This window comes from Homo sapiens, chromosome 21 (genome assembly GCF_000001405.40).
Source record: "Homo sapiens chromosome 21, GRCh38.p14 Primary Assembly".
Lineage (NCBI taxonomy): Eukaryota > Metazoa > Chordata > Mammalia > Primates > Hominidae > Homo > Homo sapiens.
The window spans coordinates 21310916-21328745 of NC_000021.9; the positions used below are offsets into that span (position 1 = coordinate 21310916).

At 33.5% G+C, this 17830-nt stretch overlaps 1 protein-coding gene across 17 annotated transcripts in view; it reads left to right on the forward strand.

Moving 5' to 3' along the window:
- Positions 1–17830, forward strand: part of NCAM2 (neural cell adhesion molecule 2) — a 544921-nt gene that overhangs the window by 312507 nt on the left and 214584 nt on the right. For all 17 annotated transcript variants that reach the window (NM_001352592.2, NM_001352591.2, NM_004540.5 and 14 more), the window contains one exon: positions 13468–13585. In NM_001352592.2, the coding sequence (NP_001339521.1) occupies positions 13468–13585 (118 nt within the window). The remainder of the gene's footprint in view (positions 1–13467; positions 13586–17830) is intronic.

Consider the following 17830-nt stretch of genomic DNA (forward strand, 5'->3'; position numbering starts at 1 on the left):
CTTTAGAACAGCTTTATAGTAAGTCCCACAGTTGAGACCTACTTCTCAGGAAATATTTCTTTCAAAATATCACAGTGCACTGGCAATGCACTTAAAATCAGGTAGTATCATTTATCCAACTGTTCTTTTACAAAAGGTTCTAGAAATTATAATTTATTTGCCTTCCATTGAAAGTTTCACAACAATTTGTCTACACAAACATATCAAGCTGGGATTTTAATCACAATTGTAAAGGAGCTTTATATTAGTTTTAAAAGAATTTTACTTTTTTTCTATCTTGAGTCTACAAATATATTAACATGGTATATATTTTTGTTGTTGTTGTTGGCCTAGTGTTTGGGACATCAATATGCTTTTGTTAAATGAATGAACGAATAACAAAAATGACTTTATGCAAAAGATGGTTACAAATATGGGGCATTTTTTTTTTTTTTTTTTTTTTTGAGACGGAGTCTCACTCTGTGGCCCAGGCTGGAGTGCAATGATGCAATCTCCGCTCACTGCAAGCTCTGCCTGCTGGGTTCACGCCATTCTCCTTCCTCAGCCTCCTGAGTCGCTGGGACTACAGGCACCCGCCACCACGCCCAGCTAATTTTTTTGTATTTTTAGTGGAGACGGGGTTTCACCGTGTTAGCCAGGAGGGTCTCGATCTCCTGACCTCGTGATCCACCCACCTCAGCCTCCCAAAGTTCTGGGATTACAGGCGTGATCCACTGCGCCCGGCCCATGGTATGACTTCTTATTTACTAAAGTCTTCTTTTGTTTCCGTTATCAGATCCTTGTAGTTTTCAACATTCAGATATCATACATAAATTTTGCTTGATTGGTACCTAAGTGTGATAGTTTTGGAGCTGTTGTACATTTTTTTAAAAAAAATTTTGGTTTCCAAATGTTTATTGCTAATATGCATATGAGATTTGATTTGGGGTGTTTTTCTTTAATCCTTTGACTGTGTTACACTCAACAATTAGTTCTAGCAATATTTTTGAAGGTTCCTTGAGTTTATATTGTATATAACAATCTATTTCTAATTTCTGCAAATTGGAAAAGATTTCTTTCTTTTCTGACTGTACGTCTTAAATCTATTTTTACTTGAGTGCTGTGTTGTTCTTTCAGCATGAGGTTTAATAGGAGAGCTGACAGCGAATTTCCTTACTTGCTCCCAGTCTTACAGATAAAGTATTCACTTCTTTACCTATATATCAATGTTAGGTCTAAATTTTTTGGCAGGTGTTTTTCATCATGATAAGGAAGTCTTCCTTTATTCATAGTTTGCTCAGAGATTTTATCATGAGTGGATGAGGAATTTTGTTGTTTTTTTGTTTTAGCATCAACTCATGTTATTACATGATTTTTTCTTTAAACTGTTAAGTTGGATAAATTAATTGAGTATTGATTAATATGCTTAATATAGTTAATATAATTTAATAATACTCAATATACTTAATATAATTTAATTATCTTCAATTAATTTATCCACCTAACAGTTTAAAGAACAATTATTTAATAATATTAGGTTCAGAGGTTTCTGAAGCTCTATTCATTAATGTCATATAATTAAATTATATTAATACTCAATTAATCTATCCAACCTAACACTTTAAAGAAACTGTTTGCTGATAACAGTATTGTGTCAGCCTTATATTCACAGGAAAAAGAAAAAAAAACTTAATGTTGATATATTTCCTATTTACAGCTAGATTTTTTTTCTAATTTTTTAATAAAAGCACCTATTTTCCATGAAATATTGGTATGTAGGTTTATTTTCTTGTACCATATATGACATGTTAAATTATCAGCATAATGCTGTGTTCATAAAAATGGGTTGAAAAACATTCCCTCCTCTTATATTTTCTGAAAGAGATTTTACAGAAATGCTATTGTTTCTTCTTTAAATATTTTTTAAATTCAACAGATAAACTGAGTCTGAACATTTCCTTTCAGGAGACTTTTGATTTATCTTTAAATAAATGTATTTTTTATATTTCTTTAATAATTATAGGATTGTTTTTGTTATATATTTTATTTTGAGTAACTTTGTGGTTTCTGATTTTCAAGGATGTGGTTCGTATTTTCAACATTGATAAGTTTGTGTGCATAATGTTATCTGGATTTTTTTAAATATTTTTATTAGCTGTACAATCTGTGCTGATATCTCTTCTTTCAATCCTGATATTGGCAATATGTGTCATCTCTCCTTTTTTCATCCTGAGTCTTGCTGGAGGTTTAATCATTGTATTCTTATTCCAAATAAACTTCATTTAAAAAAATTTTCTCTATTTTGTTCTGTTTTCAATTTCATTATTATCCTTTTATTTTATATTGTTTTCTTCCTCCTGCTTAATTTTTGCTTATTTTGCTCTTGTTTATCTAGTTTATTAGGCTATCCCAAAGAGTAATTGTGAATTTGTTCCAATTTTTTTTGTCTGTCAGATTTTGCTTTATATATTTTGAAGCACTTTTTCAAGTTGAATGCACATGTAGGATTGTCATATTTTCCTGCTTAATTGGCCTTTTTATCATTATGTAATATTCTATTTTACATCTTTTAATTTCATTTGTTCTGAAACCTACATTTTCTGATATTGACATAGCCACTGCAGCTTTCTTTTGATTAGCATTTGAATGGCATATTTTTTCTATTGTTTTTATTTTATTCTAGTTTTATCATTACATTTCAAGTGATTTCTTATAGACAGCATATAGTTAGGTTATATTTTATTCATTATGCCAGTTTCTGTGTTTTTATTCATGAAATTAAGCCATTTACACTTCATTCAGATTTACACATCATTCATTTAAAATGTTATTTTAGTCTGTTCTTTTTGTCTTTCATTCTTCTATTTTCCCTGCTCTAAATTCTTGATTATTGAACATTATTTAGAATTGTATTTTACTGTATCTATAATGTTTCTGGCTATATCTGTTTTCACAATTTGTGGGGAGGGGGTGTTGCCGTTGTAATTCAATGTCCCTATTTAAGTTAGAATCAATGTTTACCATTTCAATTTGAATGTAGAAAGTATAGCATCATATAGGTCCCTACATCTTCTCTTTATATCATACTTTTCCTGTGTATTATACCTCCATTCATTGAAAATTCCATCAGAGAATTTGTTTTATTCTTTCAACCATTAAATTACTTTAAATAACTTAAAAAGTGAATAGTGTGACATATTTCTCAGATATTTACCGTTTGTAACTCACGTTTTATTTCTGGAGTTTGATGTTTCCTTTGATTTAATTTCTTTTCTCTTTTAGAAGGCGCCTTGAGCAATTCTTTTGTATCAGGTCTGCTGGTAGAAATTGTAATAGTTTTCCTTTACCTTCATGTCTGAAGGGGATTTTGCTGAACATAGACCTTGCTTTGACAGGTGTGTTCTTTCAGAACTTTATAAATTTTGTTTCATTTCCTTTTGGCCTTAATGATTTCTGGTCAAAAAATTCAGTCATGTGAATCATTCTTCTCCTATAACTATTGCATATTTTGGTGTTTGTATATTTTTGGTTTTTAGAAGTTTGATTATGATGTGCCTCAACATGAACTGTTTTGGGTTTTTCTTGGGTTCGATGCTGTTGGCCTATTTGAGAAGTTTTCAGATGTCAGATGCATTGATACATACACATATGTACACGTATATACCTACATTATTTTGTCCTGGTCGTCTTTCTCTTTTCCTTCTTGGATTTCATGACATTTTGGTAGTGTCTAAGAAGTTCCTGAAGTCTATTCACTTTTTCCTTTAATATGTTTCCTTTTGTTTTCAAAATTGGATAACTTCCATTTGTAATTCTTTATGTTTGATAACTCTCTCTGTCAATCAATTCAGCACATCCATGAATTTTGTTGTTGTTGTTGTTGTTAACATAAGTAGAATGCTAATATTTATTTGGGGTTTTAAAAATATATCGTATGTCTTTGGAGAGACTTTCTATATTTCCATTTATTTCACCTAATTATTTAGAACATGTTTTAAACAGTTGCTTTAAAATAGCTTTTAGATAATCCAACATGTGTCAGCATGCCATTGGCATTTCCAATGACATGATTTTCCTAGTTCTTAACAGGTAAAACAATAGATTATCTTTAGGACTTTGAATATTACATAATCAGACTCTGGATCTTATTTCAGTATTACGGAAAATGCTCACTTTTTTTGTTGTTTTTGTAGGCAATCAGTTTGTTTAGATCAGACAACAAATTCTGACCATCTTTCTTGGTTTTATATTCAGACGCCATTTTCATTACCTTTCAGTGACTGTCAGATCTGTCCTGCATGTGTACCAATGGCCATTCCAGGACCCATATGGAGGTTTACCTTTTAGTTAAATTCACAAAATCTTAGCAATGTTTAGAATCCGATTCAATAAGCACAGGTCAGGACAGAGCTCAAGATTTCCTAAAGAACTTGCTGTGGATGCCTTCCTAAGACCTTCCTACTCTATGATCTCTGACATACTTTCCTATTTCTTAGGTCACCACTTTTTAGTCCCCTGGCCAGAAAGCTGCGATCTTATTTATCTCTCTCTGCCCCAACTATGGCCTTATTCTGGTTCAACTGATGAGATTAATGAGGAGGATAAAAGCAATGGGAGATTTTGCTCTTAGGACTACAGTTTATCTGATTGAAGAAGAATGTCATCTCTCAGAGAATTGGGTGTTTGCAGCTTTCCTCTGTTGACATTGTCACTGCCAGATTTCCTTCCTGCTTCCTGAGTCTGAACTGGAAGGCTTCTCTTTCTTGGACATTTCTAGAGCAGTGTTGATGACAACTTCTGGGTTTTGTGATGCCTTCAATCCAGGCCATGGAATTCTGAAAAGAAAATTGTTATCTCACAGTTTGTCTGGTGATATTTTAAATTCTGTTATATTTCTTAATAGCAATATGTCTGCTGCGATTTACTTTTAAGAGTCTTCAAATAGATGACATACATATTCTATCCAAATATATTGGTCATATTAAGTGGGGAGATAGGACACTGCAAGATGTCTCGAATTAATCCAGAACTGGAATTCTGTGATTACTTTTAAACTTGTTGACATATATATGATCAGAGCCTTATTTAAACAATAAGGAATTAATATATATATTAACAAAGTGATTTTCAGATGCTTACTTTTTTATTGATATTTAATTGATCACTTCAGTGTGACTTTGAACATTTAGCCCACACTTTAGGATTCTTACTGCCTTTTGAAAGCTGTGTATTTAAAGCCATACTTTTCTTAGTTAATGGGATAAAAAGTAAAAGATTTATAGGGGAGAAAAATGAAAGTAGTTCCAATTATTTCTTTCTGGCAGTTTATCAAAGGTGGAAATAATGCTGTTCTTACAAAATTTGTTATTTTATTTACTTTTTTATTATTATACTTTAAGTTCTAGGGTACATGTGCACAACGTGTAGGTTTGTTACATATGTTTACATGTGCCATGTTGGTGTGCTGCACCCATTAACTTACTTTAAAAACATGCAATAATAACTTGCCAAAATTGAAACACCAGATCATATATTTATTTTTTGTATTATTAAGATGTTACAGTAAAATGACCAGTTTTAAAAACCAAGATGACCCTTTCTCCAACATCTCCATCATCTTCCAATTTTATCTTTTATTCTTTTTTTTTTTTTTTTTTTTGAGACAGAGTCTCACTCTGTTGCCCATGTTGGAGTGCAATGGTGTGATCTCGGCTCACTACAACCCTACAACCTCTGCCTCCCAGGTTCAAGTGATTCTCCTGCCTCAGCCTCCCAAGTTGCTGGCATTACAGGTGCCTACCACCACGCTCAGCTAATTTTTGTACTTTTAGTAGAGACAGGGTTTCACCTTCTTGGCCAGGCTGGTCTCAAACTCCTGACCTCAGGCGATCTGCCTGCCTCAGCCTCCCAAAGTGCTGGGATTACAGGCGTTAGCCACCGCGCCCGGCCATATTTATTCTTGATATATAAATAAAACAAATATAGCCCCTGTATATTGGTCCTTGGACCATTAGCACATAAACCCCCCGGTGCCAAATTCAAAAATTTACACATCCGACTGTTTTAAATTACCCTGCATAAGCCTATTTTAAACATTTACAATCAGCCTGCTTTGGAAACTGCAAAACTGCACCTAACTTCTGCTAGCCATACACAAACTCCAAGGGCAATACAAGACACCAAGCCCACAGCTGCCCTTCTACCTTCTGAGAGAGTCTGAGAGACGCTGCTGTACTGCTGAGTGACATCACGTGGACACATTATCCCCCTCTCAGATTCTTCACTCTTCCAGGAGTTTCCTTCCCCTTCTCCCACTCTCTGAGTGGTGACTGGACATGGTGTCTTTAAACAGCCTCCTGCTATCAGGAACTTCCAATGTCAAGCAACTTGTATGAGTAGCACCTAAGTCAAACTCATTATGTGTTAATGCCTCCTATCATCATAAGTTTTTCCTTGATGAGTCCTGAAATCTTCACACTTACTTATACTTTCCAACAGATTATTTTCTGCAGAATTTTGCAAAAATGAGTACTACCAACTCTAAAAATACGTTCTGAAATCTTACACCTTTAGATTACTTTTAAATATACATCATGACTTTTATTATACATTATTTTTCTTATAAGTTTTATATGATTCTTAAAATTAATTAATTATTTTTTTTGAGATAGAGTCTTGCTCTGTTGACCAGGCAGTGACACAATCACAGGTCACTACAACCTCGACTTCCCAGGCTCAAGCTATCCTCCCATCTCAGCCTCTTAAATAGCTGGGAGTACAGGCACACACCATCCTATCCTGCTAATTTTTTCTATTTTTTTGTAGCGACAGGCTCTCATTATGTTTCTCAGGCTCATCTCAATCTCCTGGGCTCAGGTGATTCTCCTGCCTCAGCCTCCCAGATCGCTGGGATTACAGGTGCGAGCCACCAGGCCTTGACTTCTTTTTAAACTTGAATTACCAACTTGTATTCTAGTCCATTTTGTACCCCAGGTGGTCCCAAAACTTTTCTTTAATGTATAGGTTGACATAAAACAGGTGAATTCTCAGATCAGTTTCTGCAATCAGTCTTTCCTGATATATTTTAGAACCTGAGAAAGACTTTTGGATAAGGAGATAATTGAACTTTTTCTCCATTAGCACAATCCAATAGCTGACTTTCTCAAAAGAAAATCCATCTGCACACAGATACATGGTTGGAAAAGGGGTGACCCAAGAGAGTTTCTGAAAGGTGTTTGGGACCTCAAGGTTTCTTGAAATACTCTGAGGGCCTTTCATGTAGAATATTGTTAACTGTAGAATATACGCTGAAAGAATATAAAAATTGCCATGTTTAGTGGTGAAATTAACTTTCAAGAATTAAAGGAACATTCAAGCTTGAATTTATTTATTTATATATTTATTGACTTGAGAGATCTTCCATATTAACTATGGCCTTTTATTTAATTATTATCTCATACTGTGGAAAGACTTCTTTTGACAAAAATAAAGTCACAGTAATGTTTTACCTCCTTTCAACTGTAACTTTTCACTTAGATTTTATTTAATAAGCCCTTTAGATTGGTGGTAAAATGTCGTAGACATCTAGTGATGGATTAGCTTTAGTAAATTGTATTAAAAAATCTATTAACATTTTTATTTTTATGTTTTTTAATTTGTTCATTTATACTTCTCTGATTATAAAAATAATCCAATGTTAGTATAGAAAATTGTATAATGTCTACTGAGGACATTTCAAAAGAGCTGATTATATTCTTAAATCAACATATTAAATATTCATTTACCACTTTACCTATGAATTTCAATTATGGTTAATTAAATATAGAATTTATTATGTAAACAAATGCTGTAATAGATATGTATCTGGTCATATTTGGCCAGGTGACTTATACTTGCCCAATAGTGTATCCACAGGGTTTGGAATACTGATCAGTTTGAGTAAGAGTGAAGACTTATTTATATATTGACATAAATATGTCTCTTACATGTAATGTCAGCTTGATAAAAGAAACAGAATACAGAAGCAGGCGTATTTTTAAAAGAAAGAAAAAATATTGAAATATTAATCAATATTTGCATAAATAAATGCATATGCTGGCCAGGCTCTGTGAGACACTCCTGAGGCAGGAGTACTGCTTGAGCCCAAGAGTTGGAGACTGCAGTGAGAGGCTATGATCACACCACTGCATGTCAGCTTGGGTGACAGAGGGAGACCCTGTATCAAAAAGAAAAACAAACAAAAAAAAATGCAAGCACAGTCAGCTCTTCATATTCGTGGTCTTACACTGGTGTTTTCAACCAATTTGGATGGAAAATATTTTTTAAAATAGCAATAAAATTAACAATACAAAAATGAAAACATACAAATAAAGAACAATATAGTATAACAACTATCTGAGGGAGTTCCTAGAATCAATCCTCTGTGAATACGAGTTAACAACTGTAATTAATAAAAATAACTAACCAAGGCCAGTGCAGTGGCTCACGCCTGTAATCCCAGCACTTTGGGAGGCCAACACAGGTGGATCACGAGGTCAAGAGTTTGAGACCAGCCTGGCCAACATGGTGAAACCCCATCTCTACTAAAAACACAAAAATTAGCTGGGCATGATGGCGCGTGCCTGTAGTCCCAGCTGCTCAGGAGGCTGAGGCAGGAGAATCACTTGAACCCAGGAGGCAGAGGTTGCAGTGAGCTGAGATCATACCACTGCACTCCAGCCTGTCCGACAGAGTGAGACTCCATAAGAACAAAAAATAAACAATAATAACTAACCAGGAAAATGAAAAGGTCAATAATTTTAGTTGCCTCTTATTTTTTTTTTATTTTTGATCTTGTACATATGATCTACGCAAAAAGCCAATTTAAAAGAAACATAATAATCAGGTTCCTTTGGCAAATAATTAGAAAATGGAGAAAAGCGTAATTATGAAAATGCAACAAAGCATCAGTTAACAATTTTTCATTGTTTTTGTACTTGCTGTCTAAGGAAGGAAATACTTATTTGATTAAACTGCTGATTCCTCTTATATTAACTTTCACTAAGAATGTAATCGTAAATGCCAATGGAACCTTTTTTTGATTTTTCTTAAACCAACTTAATGAGCCAAATTTGATCCTCACGCTTCTACAGTCTGATGGTACTATATAAAGCCTTTACTGTGTTGTTCAGATAGGTTTGATTTTAGAAGTCAGTACTCAGTACCTTATGGCAGTTAGGTCACGGCTTTACTATATTCACAAATTAGGAACAACCATGTGGAAAATGCCCAAAATTTGCTATTCGTCAAATATGCATAGAAATGCTCTATTGATTAGATTTTGTAACAAGACGGATATACCAAATCAGTTGACACTGAAGATTGAAGACCACTCAGCTACATTTGTTTAAAAAGAATTGTATGTACGTATTTAGTTTATAGTAATCAGGAAGATAGACTTTTTTTTTCCAAACGAAATTATAAAATTATTGTTCCTTATGCCCATCATTTTATACTTTGCATTTTTAAATTTTGTATGCATTTTGAGTTCCAGAAAAGTATTCTCATTAAATAGCACTTTAAATTGATCACCCTCATAAATTCAGAATGGAGGACTATGACAATTAACCAGAAGCAATATTAATGAAAATTGAGAGCTGTTAGATCATATTACAGCATTTGCAGCAGTAGGGAAGAGCAGAACATACAAATTTTTAAAAAAAGAAAACAGATGGATTTCATTGATGCCTGATATGACTATATGAAAGTAACAATTTCATGATCAAAATCATGATGAATGCATTCTCCATAATTGAGATGTCTTATTGTATATTGAGAGGCTATATAATATTAAAATACTAGTCATTCTTTACCTCATATAAGCAATTAAGTATTTGAAAAATTGTCAAAGATGTAAATTGAAAAATGAGGGTACTTCATTTGTTATCAAAGGAAGGTTCTTAAAATTAACTGAAAACATGTAATTTCTTACTATCCATGAGTAATAAAAATAGCTTTGCAAATGTGGCTTCCCAGGTGTTTCACTTTTCTAACTTCATATAATAAAATGCAATGGAAAGAGATGTGTTAATGAAATTATGGGAAGACCCAAAGAAATAAACTAATTTGCTTTTCATGCAGACTGAGAATATAAATAGAGAATGTTAGAACTATCAAATAACTTTGGTGTTAATCTGCTCTATCTATTCTCTTGGCCAGGAACCAAGATCACTTCTGTGACTTTCTAATGGACACACAGCCCTAAATGTAAAATCATTTTTCTGATGATTAGTGATAACGAGCATTTTTTCATATGTTTGCTGGTTGCTTTTATGTTTTCTTTTGAGAAATGTCTGTTCATGTCATTTTCCCATTTTTAATTGGATTATTATTTTTTTCTTGTTGACTTGTTTAAGTTCCTTATAGATTCCGGATATTCAACCTTTATCAGAGGCATAGATTGCAAACATTTTCTCCCATTCTGTAGGCTGTCTGTTCATTCTGTTGATAATTGGTTTTGCTGTGCAAAAGCTGTTTAGTTTAATTAGGTCCCACTCGTCAATTTTTGTATTTATTGCAATTGCTTTTGAGGACTTAGCCATAAATTCTTTGCCAAAGCCAGTGTCGAGAAGTGTATGTCCTAAGTTTTTTTTATATATACTTTTTTATAGTTTGAGGCGTTACATTTAACCCTTTAATCCATCTTAAGTTAATCTTTGTGTATGATGAAAGATAGTGGTCCAGTTGAATTCTTTTGCATATGGCTCGCCATTTATCCCAGCACCACTTACCGAATAAGGAGTCAACATTTTGTTAACTTTGTCAAAGTTCAGATGGATATAGGTGTGCAGCTTTCATCCTCAGAGAAATGTAAATCAAAACCACAATGAGATACCATCTCACACCAGTCAGAATGAATATTATTTAAAAAGTCAAAAAATAACAGGTGCCGTCAAGACTTCAGAGAAAAAGGAATGCTTATACACTGTTGATGAGAATGTAAATAGTTCAACCATCGTGGAAAGTAATTTTGAGATTTTGCAAAGAACTTAAGCAGAACTGCCATTTGAGCCAGCAAACCCATTACTGGGTAAATACCAAAAGGAAAATAAATTGTAACAGACACATGCACTCGTACGATTATCACAGTGCTATTCACAATAGCAAGGACATGGAGTCAACCTTGGTACCCATCAACGGTGGACTGGATAAATAAAATGCAGTACCTATACACCATGGACTACTACACTGCAAAAAACAAACAAACAAACATGAAATCATGTCCTTTGCTGCAACATGGATGCAACTGTAGGCCGTAATCCTAAGCAAATTCACACAGGAACAGGAACAGAAAACCAAATACTGCATATCCTCACATTGAATGCCCATGGACATAAAGATGGCAGCAATAGACACTGAGGACTACTAGAGAAGGGAAAGAGGGAGGTGGGATGGTCTGAAAAACTACCTATTGGGTATCATGCTAACTATCTGGATGACAGAACCACCTTTACCCCAAACCTCAGAATCATGCAATATACCCAGTTAACAAACCTGTCCATATGTCCCCTGAATCCAAAAAAAGAAAACGTAAAAAGAAGTAAAGAGAAAAAAAGGGTTGTGAGTCTTAAGATTAGCAGTCCTCTGCTAGGTGAAAAATCTATGTGTGCATTTATTTGTTGCTTTATATTTAAAACAGAATTGGAATTGAATTACAAATGAGTATACTTCCTGGCTGTGCTTGAGTGGAGTTAGTTTTCCTTGGCTCAAATAAATTTGAAGGAATTAGTGGGTGCCGGTTAATCTGAACCAAACAAGCTGTGACATGAATAGGCATTTCATGGTTGGTATCATCTTTATCTTCTGAGAAATATCTGAGGGTTGAGGAAAGACTTGGAAGACTCAGAAAACATATGAAATTGCTGCATGCCATTATTCATAAAAGGTAAATCAGTCTGTCAAATTAGTGGTATCTCTGTTGCCTAAGCAACCGGTCAGGAGAATTATAACTTGAAGGTAGTCCACCACGTCCATGTTAGTGGGAGTTAATAGAACTACTTCACTATACATCCCCATGTTCCTTCCAGCTAAAGAAAAAATAGAAACTTTCCAGGAAGCGTTGACTACTTAACACATACAGAATACAAATCCATGAAAGAATTCATTTCATTGTAATTCTCTAAGGAATGAAAAACCTTTACTGTAATAAAAAGAGTAATACTGCTCTTGCAACTAATGTATAAATAATGATAGGTAAAACATGCATTTTGTTTAAAATGTTATTTCCCATAATTACAGAGGAAGAAAAACAGGGTACAGATAGTCAAATGACAATGTACTTAAAATTCAGAGTTAATATCTGAAAAAGTTCTATCTTTTGTAATACTAGTAATTATTATGTTACTTTAGAGACAACATGTCAGATTATGTTTCTTGTATCTAAATTCATAAGGGCAGAAACTTGATTTATTGTGTTTAATTACTAAGTTACATACCAGTTCTTATCTCTACCATCAATGGAGGTAATGTGGCATCAACGCTGACCTGAATGCTATTATAGAGATATTTGAGTATAATCACACTTGTAAATGCCTGTCTGGTATTGTTTAGTATATGTAAAAAATATTAATATACTTAATTTTAGGAATATTACTTTATGATATTCAGCTTAAAATTATAAAAGTGTGCATTGAGTCACAATTTATCCTCTACTTTGAAATTTAGCTTCTATTGTGGATGCTAGTGATTTGTTTATTGCAAACAGTGCATTTCAGTAACAGTTTCAACATGTTCCAAATGTGCAGCATATACAGTTTTTGCAATGTAATTAGTTAGAAATTGGAGATGCTTAATTTTAAAATTGAACAGTTCATGAAAATCTATTTCCATTCTCTGTATGGCTTATGCAGTTTCTCTTCATAAAATGTTCTATAGCTGCTTGAAGAAATTAAGTTTAGTTAATCAGAAAGAACATTATGTTTTGACACCTAATTTGAAAGCCCTGTTTTGAAGCAGTGATATATTGCTTATGGCATTACACAGACCAATGAGAAGCCAAATAGGAAATCCACTTATGCTCAAAGTAGATCTCCATATTGATGTAAGTTAGGGTGGTATTGTCTTTTTCTGAGACATAATTCCTAAAAGTATATATGTTTGCTAAAATATGTACTTTATTGTTTAACAGATTTAGTAGTGAAATAGCTTTACAATGAATTGATATAATTATTGCACATTAGAACACAGATCATTGATGGACATTTGGACATATGTAACAAACCTGTACGTTGTGCACATGTACCCTAGAACTTAAAGTATAATAAAAATAAAATAAAAAAGAACGCAGATCAGTGATAAAGTTATTTTACTGTGAAACCAAATCAGTTTCATTAATATAAATGGAGATGTGAAGGATGACATTTGAAAGCTTAAAATGTAGCAAAAATTCTCTAAATGATGGTAGTGAAGGTGTTTTCGTCTCTATTTATTCTGTATTCATCTCTCCTTCAGTGCCGCCAGCAATCTCAATGCCTCAGAAATCTTTTAATGCCACAGCAGAGAGAGGAGAAGAAATGACATTTTCCTGCAGGGCCTCAGGCTCTCCAGAACCCGCCATCTCCTGGTTCAGGTAGGTTATGCACCCCCCTCCCTCTGGCTTGTGTCCATTATCAGGCTTATGGAACAGTATTGGGGATCTTAATCATTTTGGTAAAAAGCAAACCATTGCATTTTAGTTTCATTAAAAAAAAATCCTGGTGCTATCTTTGGGGCTTACGGTGGTTAGATTAAACTGCTAAAGAGATCAACAGTGTGACCCCGCTCTAATATTCTGAGTCAAAGGCTGTACCCATTATACTTATTCTGTCTGTAAAAGCAGACTTTTGGAAAAATGGGACCAGGAGCACCTGTGACTTATTCAAACATTTTATTATCATTACAATTTATCTTGAAATTGATATTCTAGTGTTATTGACACCACTGTCATATGTATACAATATCATATTTTATTAGAATATAATTGTGTATATTTGTATTATACACAAAATGTTGTATTATAGAAAAAACTGATTTATAGCATTAAAATTCAATGAATTTAATGTGTAATTTTTAAAAATTACCTCATCAAATGAAATTCTGTATTCTAAATCTATAATTTGATAGTTTATTTTTTTAGAATTTTAAAATACTATTTGATTTTTATTAAGTTCAAGAATATTTTTAAAATATTCCATTCTTTTAGATTGTGTCTCAAACTACGAAATTGGAGACGATGAACTTTAAAACTGGACCATCTTGTAAATATGCATTAGTAATGCAGGTTGCTACAGAAGCATTAGCTACAAGTATTTACAGAATCACTTCATAAACCATATAGTGAAAAATTATTTAAAAAGATTAGTAAAATATACATCAGAAGTGCAAAAGTGTCCCTACTAAGTATTAGGTTGTTGTTTTAAAAGTTCTTTGAAGGACAACAATTGAAATCCCAAACTAACTTTTATTCTTTTTTGCTTGAGCATGTACTGATATTACCTTCAACTTTCAACCCTTTGTTTCTACTGCTTATCATTTTAATATAGGATGTAACAATAAATGAGATGTTTCTTCAAATATTGTGTGTTTTGATGTTCTTTTCAGACACTAATTTTCTTGGGACAAACTGTTGGTATTTTTTAGTAGGATTACACCTTGAATATTAACATATCCACCCCAGATAATCATCGTCTGTCTCAGTGACTGCTGATTTACTAATGTGGATCCTTAAAAGTCCATATCAGACCTAATTGTATCACAGAAAAGCTACTGAATCATTCATTCCAATGAAAAAATACTGTTCTACAATCTTTTTTCCTATGGTTTTGTATTTCCACAGAGATTTCTTTTTTCTTATTTGAACAGCATTTATTTAACAGATAAAGAAAGTAAAGCACAAAAATAATATGAGCAGGAAATTGAACAACAAACATGAGCTTGAGATACTCATGTTCCACTTTGTATGTAGTGGGAAAAACATCTTAAACTTCAAGCTTATGCCGATCTTAGCTAATGTAATTGATGATTCCACAAACCAATAGTGGGAATAGTAGCTGGTAGGAAAGTACAGGTGAATAAGCCTTGTTTTGAAATAATTTTCCAGTCATTCATTAAGGAATGCTATAAAATGTAAACTGTTCTGTGTAAAGGGGCTAGAAGTCTTCCTGCATTCAAGAGGAAGAAAGGAACATGTTTCTTTATCCTGTGAATTCGTCCTGACGTGCACTTCATCATTTCTGAGGCAGAAATACATGGAAACTGGGTGTGTGATTGTTACAGTGTTAGAACATATGTCCTTGAAAAATATGACACCAGGTTTAAGAAGAAAATCTCCTTTACTTCTGAGATTACTTGATCACAATGATTCCAAGTTTGATAGTAATTTCAGATTCCCCACCTATTTATGTTGATGTTAAGTTATGCAGATTCCTCATTAGTCCCATCTTTAGGATAATATTAGAACACTTACCATCAAGTCAGAATAGTAATTGTGAGACTAGATGCTTTTAGTTTGGTCAGTTTAGTTGTCTGCAGCACAACCCTTTCAAATAACAGCTTACCAATTACTTCTCACCAGAATACCAAGATCCTCCAGCAGCTGGGAAGTGTTAGCTGGCTTGGTTTTTCAGAGAGACTTCTTTTCTGCAGAGATTTTTTTTTCTTAAAGTTTTACATTCCTTCAAAACTGTTTTCTTATATTTAATTAGAAATAGTATTATATAGACTAGTATAAATCAGATTCAAAGAATAATATAATGAGTAATTTAAATTTATATTTTTTCTTCTCCATATCTTCATATGGTATTAGTTTCATCCTTTGGATAGAATGAAATAACAATTTATTGAAAACCTAAATAATTGTTCTAGTCTCTGGATATAAAATATATACTGGGAGGATGAGAATGTGTGGTTGTAACGTTAACGAAGGTAAAATTTGTGTTAGAGGGAAATTCTGACCTTGTATCTGACATATAGACATGTCATGTTTGTGGAAAAGAAAAAATTCCTGAAAGTATCAGGAAATGTAGGGTAGCATCCCGAGAGAAATGTCCAGACTGTTTCATAGAGATAATATTTCCAAGCGAGATAAGTGAAGTCAGTTGTACTAGTCAGCTTGGGCTGCCAAAACCAAATACCACCCACTGGGTAGTTCACACAATAGGAATTCCTTGATCTCTTGACTTCGTGAACCGCCTGCCTTTGCCTCCCAAAGTGCTGGGATTACAGGCGCAAGCAACCACCAACATGGTGAAATCCCATGCATGGTGGTACGCGCCTGTAGTCCCAGCTACTCTGGAGGCTGAAGCAGGAGAATAGCTTGAACCCGGGAGACGGAGGTTGCAGTGAGCTGAGTTCGCGCCACTACACTCCAGCCAGGCAACAGAGCAAGACTCTGTCTCAAAAAAAAAAAAAAAAAAAAAAAATTTCTTTTCCCATATTTCTGGACACTAGATGTTTAAGATCAAGATACCAGCAGGGTGGCCTTCCCTCTGTGTACAAACTCATGGAGAGAGAGAGTTCTGGTTATCTTCCTCCTCTTTCAGAAACAGCAATCCTTTTTTGTTTGTTTTTAATAATTTCAACTTTTATCTTAGATTCGCAGGTTTGTTACATGAGTATAATTTATAGAAACCGAAAGTAGATAATTGGTTGCCTGGGACTGGATATGAGAATAGAGATTAACTGTGAATGGGTATAAGAGATCTCTTGTGATGGTTGAACCACTCAATACAGTTACTAAAACTTCAGCCAACCAAACAAAAACCACCAGTTTTATGGGATTAAGGCCTCACTCTTATACTCTCATTTAAACTTAATGTCCTCCATGGAGGCCTTATTTTCAAATACAGTCATTCTGGGGGTTAGGACACCAACATGTGAATTTGAGGGTTGGGAAAACCCAATTTAGTTCATAACATCAATAAGATAATTAAAGACCATAATAGGGGAATTATAAAACATGTTCACAAAGAGAATCAAAAGCACTTAGTGACATGTAAATCCAAGAGGGAGTAAAAGCAGTGACTCTAAAGGTTCCCCCCTTCATTTTCGTTCAAACGGTACTTCTATATTGAGAATACAATATGGATTTTTATTGTTAGCCCATTAATTTCATAAATTTAATTTATTTTAAAATGTTCCATTTAAACCCCACTTAATCATGATACACAGGCATGCCCAGCATAATGACCTATCAATGACACGCCTCATATGTGATGGTGGTTCCATAAGATTATAATGGAGCTGAAAATGTCCTATTGTCTATTGACATCGCAGCCATCATAAAATCATAGCTCAACATATTACTCATGAGTTGGTAGTTACACTAGTGTAAACAAACCAATATATAAAAGCATATACATATTTTATACACTACATAATACTTGATAAATATGTTACTGGTTTATATATTTACTATACCGTACTTTTAATCATTATTTTAGAGTGTACTCCTTCTACTTATAAAAGAGAGAAGTTAACTGTAAAACAGCCTCAGGCAGTTTCTTTAGATAATATTCCAGAAGAAAGGATTGTTATCCTAGGAGATGCCAGCTCCATGCCTGTTATTGCCCCCAAAAGACCTTGTAGTGGGATGAGATGTGGAGGTGGAAGACATTGATATTGATGATCCTGACCCTGAGTCGGCCGAGGCTAATGGGGGTATCTTCCTTTAAAAAAAAAAAAAATTAGTGATAAAAACTTAAACAAGAAAAAATATATATCCTTATAAAATAAACAATAAAGAAAATATTTTGTACAGCTATACAATGTGTTTGTACTTTGAGCTGTTATTAAAAAAGAGTCAAAAGTTTAAAATTTTTAAGAGTATATAAAGTAA